Source organism: Homo sapiens, chromosome 12, assembly GCF_000001405.40.
Source record: "Homo sapiens chromosome 12, GRCh38.p14 Primary Assembly".
NCBI lineage: Eukaryota > Metazoa > Chordata > Mammalia > Primates > Hominidae > Homo > Homo sapiens.
In genome coordinates this window covers 95,197,507-95,212,417 of record NC_000012.12, presented here as the reverse complement: position 1 = coordinate 95,212,417, position 14,911 = coordinate 95,197,507, and the positions used below count along the sequence as shown (strand labels likewise).

The 14,911-nt window shown below is 40.4% G+C and overlaps 1 protein-coding gene across 1 annotated transcript in view, besides 4 other annotated features; it reads left to right on the top strand.

Moving 5' to 3' along the window:
• The window catches only part of FGD6 (FYVE, RhoGEF and PH domain containing 6), a 140,719-nt gene that overhangs the window by 5,050 nt on the left and 120,758 nt on the right, over positions 1 to 14,911 (top strand). The window contains exon 2 of the mRNA NM_018351.4: positions 1,151 to 3,575. Coding sequence (NP_060821.3) covers positions 1,151 to 3,575 — 2,425 coding nt within the window. The remainder of the gene's footprint in view (positions 1 to 1,150; positions 3,576 to 14,911) is intronic.
• Positions 3,471 to 3,765: a silencer, noted in NCBI's record as "tiled region #9597; HepG2 Repressive non-DNase unmatched - State 15:Elon, and K562 Repressive non-DNase unmatched - State 16:ElonW". NCBI's record gives its function as "represses a minimal TATA promoter and a strong SV40 promoter by Sharpr-MPRA in HepG2 and K562 cells {active_cell/tissue: HepG2 | K562}" and the evidence as "EXISTENCE:reporter gene assay evidence [ECO:0000049][PMID:27701403]".
• Positions 13,286 to 13,785: an enhancer, noted in NCBI's record as "H3K27ac hESC enhancer chr12:95592409-95592908 (GRCh37/hg19 assembly coordinates)". NCBI's record gives its function as "activates a minimal SCP1, AML or CMV promoter by ChIP-STARR-seq in naive and primed H9 embryonic stem cells {active_cell/tissue: H9 hESC(naive and primed)}" and the evidence as "EXISTENCE:reporter gene assay evidence [ECO:0000049][PMID:30033119]".
• Positions 13,531 to 13,630: an enhancer, noted in NCBI's record as "active region_6806". NCBI's record gives its function as "activates an Ori minimal core promoter by ATAC-STARR-seq in GM12878 lymphoblastoid cells {active_cell/tissue: GM12878}" and the evidence as "EXISTENCE:reporter gene assay evidence [ECO:0000049][PMID:35858748]".
• Positions 13,786 to 14,287: an enhancer, noted in NCBI's record as "H3K27ac hESC enhancer chr12:95591907-95592408 (GRCh37/hg19 assembly coordinates)". NCBI's record gives its function as "activates a minimal SCP1, AML or CMV promoter by ChIP-STARR-seq in naive and primed H9 embryonic stem cells {active_cell/tissue: H9 hESC(naive and primed)}" and the evidence as "EXISTENCE:reporter gene assay evidence [ECO:0000049][PMID:30033119]".

Sequence of the window (14,911 nt, the reverse complement as noted above, 5' to 3'; positions counted from 1 at the left end):
GTACCGATGCAGCATTGTATAATAGGTGTTAGTTAAATACCTTATATATAATGTTTAGGAAGAATTGCTACACTAGAAATTGTAGTTATCTTTTAAATGTAGTAGAACAGTGGATGTTAATGAGGGATAAACAACATAACCTGTGGAACTTAAAAGATGTACAGATGTCCAGGATCTATCCCCAGAAACTAACTAGTTCACTCTAGGGTAGGACCTAGACATGTGACTTTTTAAAAAATAGAGCTCCGTGAAGGAATATAATGAAAATTCCCAACCAATAACTCTTGGAGAAAGAAATACCAGGTTTATTATGAGCCTTAAATAATACCAAAGAATTAATTTTCAGTTTTTAAATTTAGAAAATTTCTGATTTCTGTCTTCCTTTTTTAATATTGTTTTGGGGTTCTATCTATCGAGGTAGACAGATCATTGATCATTGATCTGAAGTTTAAAGAGCTGCATCCTACATTTAACTTAGGCAAATTCAACTTTCAGCACTTGGCAAATGAATTGAAGAACAACTATGTGGGTCCCAAACTGAAGTCAATTATCTCATTTTTTGTCAATGAAAGATATGATGGGCTGGGCGCGGTGGCTCACGCCTATAATCCCAGCACTTTGGGAGGCTGAGGTGGGTGGATCACGAGGTCAGGAGTTTGAGACCAGCCTGATCAACATGGTGAAACCCCATCTCTACTAAAAATACAAAACTTAGCCGGATGTGGTGGTGCGCACTTGTAATCCCAGCTACTCAGGAGGCTGAGGCAGGAGAAATACTTGAACCCTGGAAGCAGAGGTTGCAGTGAGCCGAGATCATGTCACTGCACTCCAGCCTGGGCGACAGGGCAAGACTCCGTCTCACAAAAAAAAAAAAAGAAGAAAAAGAAAAAAAGATATGGTAACAGTTCCAAAGCTGGAGAAACAAACTGTATTGGATTTATTTAAAAATGTACAATAGACCCAAAGCTATGTATGGAATTGAAAGACAATTTAAGGAATTTTCAGGAGTAATATTGATACTATATAATGTAACATACTCAGTAAAAGGCAAGGTCATATTGTTAAAAATAAAAAATGCTATCAGATTTAATCATGTATCATTTTGTGCTTTGGTTGTTTTGACATCAAATTATTATTTTTTCCTTTCTAGAGATAAAGAAGCCACCAGTGGCCCCCAAGCCCAAGTTTGTTGTGGCAAATAATAAGCCAGCCCCACCTCCTATTGCACCTAAACCCGACATTGTGATTTCTAGTGTTCCACAGTCGACAAAGAAAATGAAACCAGCAATAGCCCCAAAACCAAAAGTCCTGAAGACCTCACCTGTTCGAGAGATTGGGCAGTCGCCATCAAGGAAAATCATGTTGAACCTGGAAGGGCATAAACAGGAATTAGCTGAAAGCACTGACAACTTTAATTGTAAATATGAAGGCAATCAGAGCAATGATTATATTTCACCAATGTGTTCCTGCAGTTCTGAGTGTATCCATAAGCTGGGCCATAGAGAGAATTTGTGTGTAAAGCAGCTTGTTTTAGAGCCCCTGGAAATGAATGAAAATTTAGAAAACAGTAAAATTGATGAGACTTTGACTATAAAAACTAGGAGTAAATGTGATTTGTATGGTGAAAAAGCCAAGAACCAGGGTGGGGTTGTTTTAAAGGCAAGCGTTTTAGAAGAGGAGCTCAAAGATGCCTTAATACACCAAATGCCACCTTTTATTTCTGCACAGAAGCACAGGCCCACAGACAGCCCAGAAATGAATGGTGGCTGTAATTCAAATGGACAATTCAGAATTGAATTTGCGGATTTGTCACCTTCCCCATCCAGCTTTGAAAAAGTTCCTGATCATCACAGTTGCCACTTACAGCTTCCTAGTGATGAATGTGAACATTTTGAAACTTGCCAGGATGACAGTGAAAAAAGCAATAATTGCTTTCAGTCATCTGAACTAGAGGCTCTGGAAAATGGGAAAAGGAGTACTTTAATATCTTCAGATGGAGTTAGTAAGAAATCAGAAGTCAAAGACCTTGGTCCCTTAGAAATTCATTTAGTACCATATACCCCAAAATTTCCAACTCCCAAGCCCAGAAAGACACGAACTGCTCGTCTGTTACGCCAAAAGTGTGTAGATACTCCTAGTGAAAGCACTGAAGAACCGGGGAATTCAGACAGTAGCTCTTCCTGTCTTACTGAAAATAGTTTGAAAATCAATAAAATCAGTGTTCTGCATCAGAATGTTTTGTGTAAGCAGGAACAGGTGGATAAAATGAAGCTAGGAAATAAAAGTGAATTGAATATGGAATCCAACAGTGATGCACAGGACTTAGTCAATTCACAGAAAGCCATGTGTAATGAAACAACTTCCTTTGAAAAAATGGCACCTTCTTTTGATAAAGACTCTAATTTGAGTTCTGACAGCACAACTGTAGATGGTTCTAGTATGTCGCTTGCTGTGGACGAAGGGACCGGTTTTATAAGATGTACTGTATCTATGAGCCTGCCTAAGCAGCTCAAATTAACTTGCAATGAACATTTGCAATCTGGGAGAAACCTGGGAGTTTCTGCCCCTCAAATGCAAAAGGAATCTGTTATAAAAGAGGAAAATTCTCTACGAATTGTCCCCAAAAAACCTCAAAGACATAGCTTGCCTGCTACAGGAGTGCTTAAAAAGGCTGCCTCCGAGGAGCTTTTGGAAAAAAGTTCTTATCCTTCAAGTGAAGAAAAAAGTTCAGAGAAGAGTCTAGAAAGAAATCACCTTCAGCATTTGTGTGCCCAAAACCGTGGTGTGTCATCCTCCTTTGATATGCCTAAACGGGCTTCAGAAAAGCCAGTGTGGAAGTTACCTCATCCTATTTTACCCTTTTCAGGGAACCCAGAATTCTTAAAGTCTGTCACCGTATCGTCAAACAGTGAGCCTTCAACAGCCCTAACCAAGCCCAGAGCAAAATCGTTATCTGCTATGGATGTGGAAAAGTGCACTAAGCCTTGCAAAGACTCTACAAAGAAAAACTCTTTTAAAAAGTTGCTCAGCATGAAACTGTCCATCTGTTTCATGAAGAGTGACTTTCAAAAATTTTGGTCCAAGAGTAGCCAACTCGGAGACACCACCACAGGCCACCTCTCCAGTGGGGAGCAGAAGGGGATTGAAAGTGATTGGCAAGGCTTGTTGGTAGGAGAGGAGAAGAGAAGTAAACCCATCAAGGCATATTCCACAGAAAACTATAGCCTGGAATCTCAAAAGAAGAGGAAGAAGTCTCGGGGCCAGACCAGTGCAGCTAATGGTCTGAGAGCTGAGTCTTTGGATGACCAAATGCTCTCCCGGGAGTCATCATCTCAGGCACCTTACAAGTCTGTTACAAGCCTCTGTGCACCGGAGTATGAAAATATACGCCATTATGAGGAAATACCAGAGTACGAGAACTTGCCATTTATTATGGCTATACGGAAAACTCAAGAGTTGGAATGGCAGAATTCCAGCAGCATGGAGGACGCTGATGCAAATGTGTATGAGGTAGAAGAGCCGTATGAAGCTCCAGATGGCCAGCTGCAGCTTGGACCCAGACATCAGCATTCCAGGTAACAGGTGCCAGACAGACACTTTTGCATGCATCATTGCAATTAACCTTCAACAGCCTGGTGAGTTAGGAATGCAGGGGGAAAAAAAACACGTGGTTGAAGGAATAGTTTAGAAAATGTGTAATTATTCTCAAGTGCAGCCTCCTTTTAGCATACAGTTGGAATGGGTATTTGCAATACAAGCTTGAAGTAGTTAATTTATTTTAGTAACCGATTCAAAGAATTTGAACCAGTGGCAATGTAGGTGCTGCTGCAAGGAAGGCGTGGAACAGAGAGGTCCTGGGCCTCCAGACACCAGCTCAGAAGTCATATCAGGAAACCTGGGGCAGGAAATTGGCCAATTCAATGACATTTATTTGCTAGGTATAAGAAGTCTGAAGTTACTGAAATATGTAGGCATTTACGTGTGGTGCGCTTATCAGGTGGAACCTCCACATTTTTAGAAGTTCACCACTCTTTGAAGATTGGTCATTTTACCTGTTGATGGCTAATTGCTGACCTCAAGTGGATATAGGAAAAATGCAGGAAACACGTAACTACTCTTTATTTCTCACTTTTAAAATAATTTAATTAAAAAAAAATTTTTTTTTTGAGATGAGGTCTTACTCTGTCACCCAGGCTGGAGTGCAGTGGTATGATCATGGCTTACTGCAGCCTCGACTCCCCAGGCTCAAGGAGTCCTCCCATCTCAGCCTCCTTGAGTAGCTGGGACTATAGGTGCATGCCACCATGCCTAGATAATTTTTGTATTTTTTGTAGAGACAGGGTTTTGCCATCATGCCCAGGCTGGTCTTGAACTCCTGGGCTCAAGCACTGCTCCTGCCTTTGCCTCCCAAAGGGTTGGGATTACAGGCATGAGTCACTACACTGGGCCTATTTCTCACTTTTGTGTGTGCACTTCCTACCTGTGGAATACCTACTCCATCTCTCTTATTAAAATCGTGCCCATCCTCAATAATCCACCCCCTCAGTCTTTGGCTTCATTAAGCTTCTACAATTACCTAGTCAGAAGTGTTTACTTCCTATTCTGACCACCCAGTTATGCTGTGATATCCTTTCATCTCAGGCTGTCTTAATGTATAACTATTTATTGGCATGTCTGATGTTCTGTATTTGGTTTTAAGCTCCATGAAGAGTTCTAGTCATCTCTTTGCCCTGGATAAAGCCAAGCAAGAGGCCTAGTAGAATCAGTAGATGTTGATTGGGTCTAAGAGAGAATGAATGAAAATAGGCCAAGAGAGCAACCACTGCAGCGGCTTCCTTCTCTCCATAGTCGCATAGGTAGCTTTTCCATTGTATTTCTAATGTTTGTTTGTGTTTAACAAAAAAGCACATGGACCCTTTTGGAAATCTTTAGATTGTTCTTAGTCCACTAACTTCAGGTCTTTGAAATTCAAGTCTTGAAATGTGACTTTTCTAGAAAATACTTGGCACATAGTGGGGTGTATTAGTCCGTTCTCACGCTACTAATAAAAACATACTCAAGACTGGGTAATTTATAAAGGAAAGATGTTTAATTGACTCACAGTTCAGCATGGCTGGGGAGGCCTCAGGAAACTTACAATCATGGCGGAAGAGGAAGCAAACACATCCTTCTTTACATGGGGGCAGCAAGGAGAAGTGCAGACCGAAAGATTGAAAAGCCCATTATAGAACCATCAGATCTTGTGAGAACCCACTCACTATCTCTAGAACAGCAGCTTGGGGGAAAACCGCCCCCGTGATTAAATTACCTCCCACCGGGTCCCTCCCACGACATGTAGGGATTATGGGGACTACAATTCAAGGTGAAATTTGGGTGGGGGCACAGCCAAAGCATATCTTGGGGGCTCCAAAAAAAAAAAAAAGCATTGTTGGGTGAATTGAATAAATAAAATTGTCGAGCAAGTCAGCGTACCAAGTAAAGTAAATTATTTTAAGTTCCTTTAACTGTCAGGTATTCTCATAGCATTTCTCTTTACTCGTAGTCAGTCTTTCCTGCCCTTCCTCCTTTTGCCTAAAAATGGCTACTTTCCTCCCTTGTCTAATTTTTCTCACAGCCAGCTGCATTCTGTTTTCATATTTCTGCTTCCTGAATATTAGTACCTAGGCAAAAAGCTCCTTCCTTGGCATAAGTACTTCTTTTTCTTTTTTTTTTTTTTTTTCTTTGGAGACAGGGTCCCCTCTCTGTCTCCCAGGGTGGAGTACAGTTGTATAGTCAAGGCTTACCGCAGCCTGTAACTCCTGGGCTCAAGTGATCCCCACCCACCTTCAGCCTCCCAAGTAGCTGGGACCACAGGGGCATACCACCACACCCAGCTGATTTTTATTTTTTATTTTTTGTAGAGATAGGGTCTCCCTGTATTGCCTAGGCTGGTCTCAAATTCCTGTGCTCAAGTGATCCTCCCATCTCAGCCTCCCAAAGTGCTGGGATTACAGGCATGAGCCACCACTACCGGTTCTTGGCATAAATATTTCAAATTGTCTGTTTTCAGGATTGCTCTTCTCTGCAGAACCATTTTATTGGTACTATCCTTTTTTTTTTTAAACATGCTTTTGCATATTTTTTTGTGTGTAATAAGTTTGGTTGGCTTCTTCACAATGTACTACTATCCTTGCCTAAGATAAATTTTTTTTTTAATCACTTTATTTGTGAATGAGTACAATTTTTTCTTGAAATTGGAGGTTTGGCCATTGGGGTGTGTTTTCTGTTGGCCATCAGGCTTAAACCCTAAGGGCTTACCATTATCTCTGCCAATCCTGGAGCTTGTTTTTTATCTGTTATGCTGCTTAGTTTGTTAGGGCCTGCTACTCGACTGGGTGGAAGCTGGTGAGAAGGGGTTAATGGACGCAGCCAGCCAGTGGCATAAGGAGAGTTCTTTCTGGAGGCCACAGGAAACCAGGGCGGCTTTGGACAGGTTATAGGCTGTCAAGTAGGGCAGCCTGGTAAAAGCTGGGTGAGCTTTGCTTTTGAATTTCGCTTTCCAAGGAGACTTTTGTTTAGGCCTGCAGCAGGGAGCCTGCAACAGGCTTGAGACTACTAAAATGTGCCAGAGGAATCAAAAGCCCTGAGTCATAGGGTCAGAATCACAGTATTGCCTGGGAGGTTGTTCCTCTTGTAAACAACATTGAATAGAGGAGAAAAGAAATTCAAGTCTTCCTGAGGAGGACACCTTGACACCCTGAGATCAAATAAATGAACAGTGAGGCATACATTTCAGGTGAGCTCAAAGGGTCCTGTTTGGTAATCTCGCTGTTGAAAATACAGACCTGTGCCTTAGAATACTTAATTCAAAATCCAGTACACTGACTGGGGTTCTAAAATGATAAGAAAAAGTGAAAATGAACTCTGTTTAAGATTTTTCTGCTGGGGTCATCACAAGGGTGTCTTAGTTTCTCAACCTTCAGGGAAGAAAGTCTGGGTCAGGGCTCTAATTCACTGAATCATGTATTTTACAGAGTCTACACATGTGACCAACCAAATTCTGGTTAGTAAACAGACTTTTGACAAGCTTGGGTGTAGCCCATATGGTCTTATTCTTTAGAATATAGATGTTTCATAAATCCATTGCTTACCATTTACTTTTTTTTTTTTTGAGACAGAGTCATGCTGTGTTGCCCAGGCTGGAGTACAGTGGCACCATCACTGCTCACTGTAGCCTTGACCTCCTGGGGTTAAGTGATCCTCCCATCTCAGCCTCCCAGGTAGCTGGTACCACAGGCATGTGCCACCACACCCATCTAATTTTTGTATTTTTTGTAGAGATGGGGTTTCACCTTGTTGCCCAGGCTAGTCTCGAACTCCTGGTCTCAAGACATCCTCCTGCCTTAGCCTCCCAAAGTGCTGGAATTATAGGCGTCAGCCACCATGCCTAGCCTACATTTACAAATTTATAACAACATGTTTACAATTTATCAGAAAGTAGTTGTAGGCAGTCCCCAATTCCTAAAAGGATTGTGTTCTAAAAGTTCATGGTAATTTGGAACTCAGAGTGTATTTCCCAAAGAAACAGCTTTGAAATGGTGGTGAAGTCCTCAGTTTAGTCCGCAGGTTATATTAACCATTACTGCCCTGTCTTCCCCTCCACTCCTCTCCCTACCCCAGCCCAAGGGAGGTGAATTATCTCTGACTGTGTATGTGTGTGTGTGTGTGCGCGTGCATGCACGTGTGTCCCTGTGATGCAAGCTGGGGCTGAGGCGGTAGCCAGGGTGGGGTTAAGCACCTGGGATCTCAGAGGAGCAAATCTACAAGGCCTGGGGCCCCAGGGTTTGTGGGAAGGATGAGATGACTAAGGAAGAATGAGGAAACTGGGGGCTGGGTGAGCTGTGTGGAAGACTGAAAGTCGTCAGGAGTGATAAGGGGGAAGGGTAGGGTAGTGGCTGGGAATTAGTAGGCAGTGAGTTTCTCTACCTCCTTTTCTTCTTATTCCAATCCCTTCTCTCTTTCCCTCCCCGTTCTCCTTTGCTAACTGCATCATTCGGCTAATTGAGTTTCTGATGCCTGGCAGAGTGAGTAGAAGAAACCAGAGGAGGAGACTGGATGAGGGTGTAAGGAGTGGCACTGAGAAACCCCAGAGGAGAAAGGACGAACAGCCAAACCTGAAGATGAAGGAGACTGGAAGGGAAGTTCCCATGGCTGGAGAAACCATAGCTTTAGGTGTTCCAGATAGGTCATCATTTAGTCACCGCTCCGGGTTCTCAGAGGCAGTTTTGTTGGTAGTGCAACTGTGAGCCACTCTGGATTATTCTGACATTTTGGGAGTATAGTTATGAGACCTCTTCCTTGAAATGTTTCAGATATAATAAACATAAAATAGCCAGCAGGCAAAGGATCTTTCTATCTTATTGATATTCAGGTGATGGGTACCCATTTACTACTATTTTTATTTAAGAAGTTTGATGTTCAGAGAGAAGTTCCTAAAATTTGAGCCTTTGAGCCTTTGTCTGTAACCCTTATTCAAGGGCTATAGACAAATCAGCAAAATAATAGTGTCCAAATGTTGGAATTTCCTTTTTGAAATTGAGGCAGATTTCTTGATTCTATAAAGAAAACTGTCCCTGGAAACATTCCAAGTTTTTCCTGTGTTGTTTCAATTTGTTCTTATTATAAATATTTCAAAGAAAAAGTATGATAATTGGGTTTTCCTAGGCAACTTAGCAAACCCTCGATTTATTTATTTCACAGATACTGACCATATGTCAAGCATTGTACTTTCAAAGGTGAAAAGTGATGCCTACTCCCAAGGAACTTCTGCCCATTGAGGTGACAGAAATTTATAATACATGGTTTTACTAATTAGTTGTCTTTTTCTTAGTTGTACCCTGAATAGGGTATTAAAGAAAACATCACCTACATGGCAACACTTGAACCAAGTCTTTTTTAAATGGGCGTGATTAGATCTGGTGTTTAGGAGGTTGTTTTTTAATGTTGGTGAGAGCAGTTTTAGTGGTACTGTTGGAGAAGGAGCCAGATTGCAAACTGGGACTGAGAAGAGAGGAAGTGGAATCAGAAATGTGGATTGTTGTCCCTTGAAACTTTGCCCAGAAGTGCCTGTCATTTGACAGGTTTGGATTTATCTTTTGGTCTTCAAGCACCAGAATTCAACATAAATTGAACTTCAAAATTATTTCTTTTAAATGAATCAGTATACCCTCATCTCTGATGAAAGAAAGTACTAAGTTTTTGTTTCTCCCCATTTTAAATTTGAGACTGGTCTTGAAGAGCTGCTGAATGACACTGCAAGTCCTATTATGGGATTTTCATTGTAAATCAGGAAACCTAGTCTAGAAGACCTCTCTCTTTGGTTACATTTACCACCTCATGGTATTGTTGGATTTCAATGTAAGGATTAGAGTATACATTAACAGCCTATGAACATTTCCATGTTGTCGTAGCACAGTTAAGATTATGCACAGTTAGAAGGTGGGGGTTGGGACTGATATTCAACAGCAGCCCTTTCCTGTAAGTTATTTTCAGAGACAGCTCAGGAAATGTAAAAAATCTGTATGCCTCTTTAACTTTGTGTTTCTCGTGTTAGAATTGTAGCCACACAGTTCTGGCAAATCTGTTTGTTTGCATACTTACCCTGCATTTGAAATTGCAGCAGAAGCATTGGGTTTTCTTTCTTGGCAATAAAGCTGTTCTTTTTTCCTTTTAATAAGGAATTAGGGGCCAGGCATGGTGGCTCATACCTGTAATCTCAGCACTTTGGGAGGCCGAGGCAGGAGGATTGCTCGAGCCCAGGAGTTCGAGACCAGCCTGGGCAACATGGTGAGACCCTATCTCTATGAAAAAAAGGAGAAACAAATTTTTTTTAAAGGAATTAGGAATAAGTATTATGAAGAGTATCAATTAAATATTAGGAATTAAATTGCAGTATTTTGTCCAGCTGTGTTACTTTGGTCTCATTTCCTGCCAAAGCAGATAAATGATATTTTATTTTATTTTATTTTATTTTATTTTATTTTATTTTTTGGGAAATGGAGTCTCACTGTGTCGCCCAGGCTGGTGTGCAGTGGTGCAATCTTGGCTTATTGCAACCTCCACCTCCTGGGTTGAAGAGATTCTCCTGCCTCAGCCTCCTGAGTAGCTGGGATTACAGGCACTGCCACTATGCCCAGCTAATTTTTTGTACTTTTAATAGAGATGGGGTTTCACCATGTTGGCCAGGCTGGTATTGAACTCCTGACCTCAAGTCAGCCCACCTCGGCCTCCCAAAGTGTTGGGATTACAGGCATGACTCACCGCGGCCAGCCCATATGTATGTTTTTGTGTGGTAGACTGTCACTCTACACTTTTAGAGACATATTTTTAGAGATAGAAGAAAAAAATATAGACTACAAAAATGTATGGAAGAAGAAGATGTGTGTGTGTGTGTGTGTGTGTGTGTGTGTGTGTGTGTGTGTGTATTCTGTCCTGCTTAGTAAAACATTTTTTTGAGATAGCTGAAATTTGCACACTTTGGGAGAATAAAAGATTGCATTATTATTTTTAGAGCTAACTAGTTTTCCATTGCTGTGTTTTCATCAAGTTCTTGAATAATAAAGATCTAAAAATCTTAAATTTAGCCAAGGATATGATTATTTTGTTTTTATAAAATTTGAGTTAATCAGTGAGACAAACATTGCTTTGTAAAGTGAATTTCTGACCTAGGTCCTAGAGAAATGTCCCCAGTGTAAGTCTTTTGGGAAGGGCAGAAGTGGGGAGGGTGACAAGGAGGGCCCACTATGTTCTCCTAAGTATTTGCACTTCTTGTAATGACCTGATATATAAAGGTAATCAGACAATCATCCTTCAGTCAAGGAATGGATAAAACCTAGCAGTAGGGTGTTTGGAAATCGGAATGCATTTTTGCAGTAGTCATAACTGAGTGGGGGTTGCTTTCCCAGCCCGCCCACAAGAACATATTTAGCTTCTAATATATGAAAAATGTGATAGAAAGTAATAGGAAATGAGACTATGGCAGTAATAAAACAGCAGTGAAGTTAAATAAATGGCTTTTGTGACTCTTGAATGATGGTGCCTTCAAGAAGGGAAAGGTTAGTGTGTTGAGGAGGGAAATAGCAAGGGGGAAGGGAACAGGATGAAGAGGTGGAGATGAACTTTTATCTCCCTGATCTTCCAGGTGGTTCAGGGGAATTCCAGATCTGGGCGTGTGTCTTTATGGAAGGGAATGAGTATTCATATTTCACATATTCATAAGTAATGCCTGTGCTTGTATATTACATTTGATAGCTTTTTATGTTCTTCTAGACATTTTTTAAAAATTCATTATCTATTCCTGGAATCGCATAGATAAATTTGGTCTTTAGGGAAGCCCTTTTGGATTAAAAAAAAAAAAGCAGACTAGACATGTTTATATCAGCCTATTTATTTTAATACTTTCTTGAAACTATGTTAGGTACAAAGAACAGTTCGTGTTATAGCACATTTGGGTGTGGGTAGCTACAAAGAAGTACTGGCCTTTTTTTAATGCTGAGTGTCTTAAGTTCAGGAATGGAACTGCCTACTTTCTTCTGGGTGGTATGGAAAAACTACTTCGGTGGCTTAGCCTGCTTCTGGTAATTGTGTTCGTGGATCTCTGGAGCAAAAACTGTATTTGTAAGTAGTTTTGACAGCAGGCAGAGATAATCTATGATTGGAGCAATAAAAATAGGAGTGGCCAAATAGACTGTCAGTGGAGTAAATATGATGATTGTATTTCTGGGAAGAACAGCTGTCTTCTTTCAGTTTTCTTTCCCAGGTTTCTCAGCCCTTCTTGTTTGCATTTATTATAGGCCCCCTTTTGGTTCTATATAAGCATGAATTGGAGTAAGGTTGCTGTGTTACCCTTTTATATGCAAAGAAATTGAGTTATGGTGGTTAAGTGATTTCATGAAAAATGAACAGTGATGGAAATGCGATGGATTAGTGGTTCTGAGCCCTCATCTTCAAGGGTCTGTTTACCAGACTCTCCCATTTATCAAAGTATTTTGGTTTCTGATGCAGGAAAGGTGAAATAATAAACACTGAACAAAGAAAACCAGTTTCCCCCTGATGTTTCCATAAAAATTAAAAGGAAAACAAACACATTTAGGCTTTTTATGTTTGAAATGGTGTAACTGCTTGTTCTTTTAGCTCCTGTGGATTCAGTCGAAAACTTCATGTTTTACTTAGATCATTTATTTTTTGAAGTCAGTTTTTTTTGATAACATTTATAACAGTTGACATACTTTGGCATATGTTAGTATCGTATGAAACATTAGAAATTAAAGAGTAGATATGGTTTTTAATAAACTTAGAATAGCCTGTTTTGTTTTGTTTTATATCTGAAAAGCAGTTCTGATTTTGAATTGTTGGGCAACTGTAGTTTTAAGTCGACAAAATGTATAAAGAAGGAATAATTTGTAGCTTATCCCCACCTTCCCTAACTTTCTTTTGGTCTTTTGATGTATCCCACAGTCCCAAGAAGAAAGGGATTTCAGTGTAGAAATGTAGCTTTTTGTAATCCCAGAACTTTGAGAGGCCCAGGCAGGCATATTACTTGAGATCAGGAGTTCGAGACTAGCCTGGCCAATGTGGTGAAACCCCGTCTCTACTAAAAATACAAAAATTAGCTGGGTGTTGTGGCACGTGCCTGTAGTCCCAGCTACTCAGGAGGCTGAGGCAGGAGAATTGCTTGAACATGGGAAACAGAGGCTGCAGTGAGCTAAGATTGAGCCAGCCTGGGCAAAAGAGCAAGACTCCATCTCAAAAAAAAAAAAAAAAAAGGTAGCTTTTCCACTACTTAATTTTTCTTTCCATAGCTCCACTAAAAACATGCAGATAAAGCACAGTCCATCTCTACTGCCCTTCTTACTGGGGAGGAAGGCAGGGATAGATAATGAAATCGTTTACAAGTCCAGGTATGATTTGCTTGATAACAAAAGTTTCTGAAATCTTAGTCTTTTAGAAGTCTGGGGGTAAGAAAAAAATAAATAAGGATTTTTTTTTGTTGTGTAATCAAGTGGTTTGAAAAAAGTGAGAAATTAACATATGTCTGTTAATGATTTTAGGTTAAATATAGTCTTAGGATCATTAAAGTTTAGAACTAAAGGAATCATTATAAATCATGCAGTAAAGTCTCTTCACTCACTGATGCAACCAAAGCCCGTGAAGACTTGTCGACTTTGCCCACACCACAGAAATGGGAAATTCCAAAACCAGAGCTCCAGCCTGGAGCTTCTAATGCTGGGGTGGAAAGCCTTATAGAGAAAGTGAGCAAAATTTAGAAGACGAAAGTGATCTTAGTTGTTGCACAAAGGTTCAGGTTTACTTGCATCATTGCACTTTTTTCTCCTTTTGTAACAGTGTTGTTACCGCTGTGAGGAAGGAGGCCCCACACACAGATGCATATGAACACAGAATTATATGGCTGTTTTTAAAATGGTGATTTCAGCAAGGTGAATATTCAAACCAGGCAGAAACTTTCAGCAAACAAATAATCTGATGCTACTAATACACGTTAACAAAACTTTCTTCCCCCAAACTGACTCCCCATCAATCCAGTTTTTACTCCACCTCACCAAAAGTCTATGAACCAGACAAGAGGAAGGATTAGAAGTGCCATTCACATAAATAGCATGAGTTTTAGGCTTAATAGTAATCGTGGACGGGCACAGTGGCTCACGCCTGTAACCCCAGCACTTTGGGAGGCCAAGGCTGGTGGATCTCGAGGTCAGATCGAGAACATCCTGGCTAACACGGTGAAACCCCATCTCTACTAAAAATACAAAAAATTAGCCGGGCGTGGTGGCGGGCCCCTGTAGTCCTAGCTACTCGGGAGGCTGAGGCAGGAGAAGGGCGTGAACCTGGGAGGCGGAGCTTCCAGTGAGCAGAGATAGCGCCACTGCAATCCAGCCTGGGTGACAGAGCGAGACTCTTGTCTCAAAAAACAGAAAAAAAAATAGTAATCGCTTGGATTTACTCAAGATTTCCGATATGCCAGCATTATGCTAGGAGCTCTTGCGTGTACCATTTCGTCCCTTTTGTCCTTTAAGATAGATATTATTGTTTTCTTTAACAGATGAGGAGACTAAGACTTAATGGGGTTGAATAACTTGCTCAAGGGCACAGAGCTAACTTGTAGATAAACTGAAGTATGGAACCAAGTTTTCTGATCCTGAGACAGACTGACATTTAATCAGAACATGTTGATGTTGTGCTTTGCTGTGAGCCATGGTTTCACTATTATTTTATTTTTTATTATTAATATTGGTAGAGGTCTGTGAATCTTCTACCCAAGGGACCACAAGGGACAAACTATTTCTGTCTTTAATTTGTTCACTATTTAGAGGGAAAACACAGAGACACCTGCAGTGATAGGAATAGAAATTAATGAGCATTTGTAGAGACCCCAGATTTTTCATGCAGGAAGAGTTCATTGATTGGAAAGCTCTTGTGGTTAGGTAATAGGTGTTTCAAAGGTTGGAAACTGAATTCATTATGTCATATTTGCATTTAGTCCGGTAGGTGGTGGCTGCTATTCAAAGCAAGTTAAATATGATTCCTGTCATTTACTAGTTGCATGTGGACATTAATGGCATGGAAAGGATTATGCATGTCTCATATTTCCCCACTGATTTACATGAGAGCTGCTTTTTTTAACCAGTTTATCCCTGTTTCTCATTTTGTTCTCTCTGTCAAGTACATTCTGACGTCTAAAGCACTTTTATTTAATAATGTTATTTATGGGTCCCCAAAGTAAATATTTTGTAAGGCTAAAATACTTTTTGTAATAAGATAATACCCTTATTAACTTAGGGAAAAAATAGATTTAAATGAATGGTAGGGGTATAGTCCCCCAAAAGACGCAGGTGATATGTTCCCTCTAATTAGT